Below are 4,319 nucleotides of genomic sequence, written 5' to 3'. Positions count from 1 at the left end.
GAAGATTATTTCTTTCTCCTGTAACAGTACAAGGCAGGTATCTAAGTCAGAGCCTTTCCTTCATAAAATTATTCACTGAAAAGGCTGACAGCTTCTCTGCCATCTTGGACATGTTGCATCCAAGGTCACCCAGGGTATTGCCATCCTATCAGCTGGAAGGGGAAGAGAACATGCAGGGACATTATGTAGGAGAATTTATGAGCCTTCAATGGATGTGACTGATTAACCTCTGATCACATTGCATTGGGTAGAACCCAACTCACACAGCCAAATCTGAGTGGAGTGAAATAATCTTGTTTGGTGCCAAGAAAGAAGACAATGGATTTTAATAAACCTCCAGCAGCCTCTGTCACATTTTTCAATAGGAAGGCAAGCATGTTTAGCTGAAATGGTCTCTGTATTCACTAGTTACTTTTGGGAGATATGTCAAAGGCATACAATTTGTTCTGTTTCAGTTTCATGAACATGTCATTTCCTGATAAAAAATGAGACAATATATCCCAAAACTTGATGTAAGTTCATTGGTAAATGTTAACCAGAGTAAGGGCAAAGGAACATTATGTCTATTAGTTTGAAAATTGACCCCTAAATGAAACCATCAACCCATGGCAATTTCATGTTCCCCTTAGCTCATCATGGTAATGGAAATGAATCAGCTTTTCATGGGACAAAAATCTGTACTTCAAAAACGTGCTTCATACCAGGAATAATTTTCCTAGGTTTTCATGTTCATTTTTAAAAAGCAAATGTTTTCCTGATTTTAACCCCTTTACCACACTGTTGGTATTGTGTTTTTAGTGAATGGTATGCAATTATATGCAATAAATAACAGATCAAGTCATTTCACTGTTTACACACCTATTTAGTGAAAATTCCTATATAAAACACCCACATTTTTTTCCTGAATAAAGCTAAGCCTGCAAACAAAATAAATCAATACATGAAGGGAAAATCTGAATTTAGGCTGGAATTTTCTAGCTAATTCACTGGCCATGGGGTTTGAACCTTGGATGCTGTTGAAAATGGCCTTAGTTCTCTATTTTCAGGAGATGTTTCAAATAAAAGCTCTAATAGCTGCCCGTTTGCTTTCTTGCTACTCTCTAAACTCTGTCTGAGACTATTCTTTGTCCTGAATCAGGTTTGCATGGTTAGTGCCCATTCAACCTAGCAATCACCCTGATATTTATTGATATTGAAAAGCAATTATATATAATGTTCATTAGAGAAGGTTGCTTTACAAGATATAAACAAATACAAGACAAAATAAGATTCCTCTTCCCCCAAATTTACAGTCTATTAAGGACTCTAGACCACAAAGAGTTAATTAAAAATAAATCACTAAGTGAATAGACAGAAGTTGCTCATCAGATATTGAGGGAAGGAAAGGTCGCTGAGATCTGTGATAGAAAAGATACAGACCTTATAGTCTTTATGTTACCATTGCCAATGGCATGTAGAATGCCAGTTTTTTAATGTATATCCTGTTACTTGTTAAATCATTCACCTTAATCACCCATCATGTTTAAGTATTTAGCTAAGCACTATACAACCACTAATAAGAAACAGTTCTTTTTTTTTTTTCTTTTTTGAGATGGAGTCTCCCTCTGTCACCCAGGCTGGAGTGCAGTGGCACGATCTCGGCTCATTGCAACCTCCACCTCCCAGGTTCAAGCAATTCTCCTGCCTTAGTCTCCCGAGTAGTTGGGACTACAGGCATGTGACCACACCTGGCTAATTTTTTGTATTTTTAGTAGAGACAGGGCTTCACTGTGTTAAACAGGATGGTCTCAATCTCCTGACCTCGTGATCCACCCACTTGGCCTCCCAAAGTGCTAGGATTACAAGCGTGAGCCACTGCGCCCGACCAAGACATAGTTGTTGACCTCTGGAAGTTTTCAACCTATTGGGAGAGACAAACTAAATACACAGTTACAATAAAATGTTACTATTTGAAAATTGCAGCATGCAATTTGGAGGACTGAGGAAAAGGTTAATGGAGGAAGTAACTTTACTGAGATCTAAAATGTGTTTATGTCCCATTATTATTGAAGCAAATCTAACTAGCATAAACTCCACTTTATAGATTATTTATTTAAAAGATACTTGATTACACTAAGGCAAACAATTTGGAGTGTTTGTAAAATTTTGGGAAAGACTTCCAAATGCATCAAACAGTCCTTTTCAGAATTTCTTCTAACCATGCCCAGTATATTTTGCCAGCAAGGAAATATGCTTCAGGTTACAATAGGTAAAACCAAACAAACCAAACAAAATAGATGCATTTTACCCACAAGTTTTACATGAGTGACAATCACTAAGAAACACTTTAGAAATTAACTATAAAATAACATTCTAGCTATTGACATTCTAGTGATAAGGTATCTAAAGAGGCTCAAGGAGGCATATGGCCATCACTGCCCCCATATAACTCTGTAGTGATGTCACTTTTTTTTTTAATAAATAACAATAGGAAATCTATATTACTGGTACTTTACCAACACATTTTAGCTAAATGAATTAATTACATCTACATAAGCCTTTTCTCTGTTGGTAAAGTTTCTAAGACCACAAAACCATTTTAGATATCTAATCATTTATTTAATTTTCTAATTTCTGTATCTTGAACTGAGACTAATAACTGATTTTGAGGAGTATATGTATGTGTGTATGTATGTATGCATTCATGTACGCATATATATGCACACATGTATCAGGTAGAAAGTTGCAAGAGGACTGGGCAGGTTTACACAATGATGTGGTTGAAATATATGCAGGATTCTATAGGCTAAAGTAAATAGTTTGAATTTTAATCTGAGTATGATGGAACTGGAGAGTTTTGAGCAGAGGAGTGACATGACCCGATTTAGGTTTATAAAATGTCACCATGGCTGCTGTGCATATGCACTTTGGGTGACAAAAGTAGAAGTGGGATAATCAGTTCAGTTACATTTACAGACTTCATAATGAGACATAATGGAGATTCCATGGACTTGAGTATTAGCCATGGAGACAGTAAGAAATAGATATATCCATGTGTTCCCTGAAAGATAGCCGGATATACTCAAGCAAATACAGTAATAGCAAAGTAAATCAGCATCTCTTTCTGCCAGATATACATTAAATTCATATTTTAAGCAAGCAACAATTTTTTTAAAAATATGCAATGATTTATTAGGAGTTAGAGAACATAAGCCATGTACACTTTGGTTCATGCCAATTAATCCTCACAGGGTTGACAGGAATTGCACACCGGGTTCTGCACAGAAATATAGGTATAATGAAACATTAATCAGACTGCACTTTCGCCCACTTCCTTCTTGCTGAAGTCACGTAGCACTAGATACTGATTGTTCCCATAGGTAGGATTGCTGACAATAGGATCATAAGACCATTTAAGAATTGATTTGCATTCACATTGTTCTTACAGACAGGATCTTTGACATTAGAATCATAAGATTTTGTTTATGGATTGCTAAAGGTGTTTTTGTGGATCCCAAATTTCGGCAAAATAGCTAATGCCTACCAGTTTAAAGACTCTTACAGAGGAACGGAATCAGCATGAGAATATAACTTCTTCATCTCCCTGTCCCATGACTTCCCTCTGCATTCTTTGACCAATTAACAATCTCTGCATTTCAATCCCCTCCAAAACCTTTTAAATCCCTAGCCCCAAACTCCCTGGGGAGATAAATTTGTGGTTTCCTCCTGTATTAGTCCGTTTTCACACAGCTGATAAAGACATACCCAACAATGGGAAGAAAAAGAGGTTTAATTGGACTTACAGTTCCATATGGCTGGGGAAGTCTCAGAACCATGGTGGGAGGCAAAAGGCACTTCTTACATGGCAGCCACAAGAGAAAATGAGGAAGATGCAAAAGTGGAAACCCCTGATGAAACTATCAGATCTCGTGAGACATTTTCATTATCATGAGAACAGTATGGGGGAAACCGCTCCCAAGATTCAAATTATCTCCCACCAGGTCCCTCTCACAACACGTGGCAATTATGGGTGTACAAGTTAAGATGAAATTTGGGTGGGGACACAGAGCCAAACTATATCATTCTACCCCTGGCCCCTCCAAATCTCATGTCCTCACATTTCAAAACCAATCATTGCCTTCCCAACAGTCCCCCAGAATCTTAACTCATTTCTGCATTAACCCAAAAGTCCACAGCCCAAAATCTCATCTGAGACAAGGCAAATCCCTTCCACCTATGAGCCTGTAAAATTGAAAGCAAACTGGTTACTTCCTAAATACAATGGGAGTACAGGCATTGGGTAAATACAGCCATTCCAAATGGGAGAAATTGGACAAAAC

The 4,319-nt window shown here is 37.4% G+C and overlaps 1 annotated feature.

Moving 5' to 3' along the window:
- Positions 3,217-3,971: an enhancer, noted in NCBI's record as "OCT4-NANOG hESC enhancer chr4:164336685-164337439 (GRCh37/hg19 assembly coordinates)". NCBI's record gives its function as "activates a minimal SCP1, AML or CMV promoter by ChIP-STARR-seq in naive and primed H9 embryonic stem cells {active_cell/tissue: H9 hESC(naive and primed)}" and the evidence as "EXISTENCE:reporter gene assay evidence [ECO:0000049][PMID:30033119]".

Source organism: Homo sapiens, chromosome 4, assembly GCF_000001405.40.
Source record: "Homo sapiens chromosome 4, GRCh38.p14 Primary Assembly".
Lineage (NCBI taxonomy): Eukaryota > Metazoa > Chordata > Mammalia > Primates > Hominidae > Homo > Homo sapiens.
This window is presented reverse-complemented; position numbering and strand designations above follow the sequence as displayed.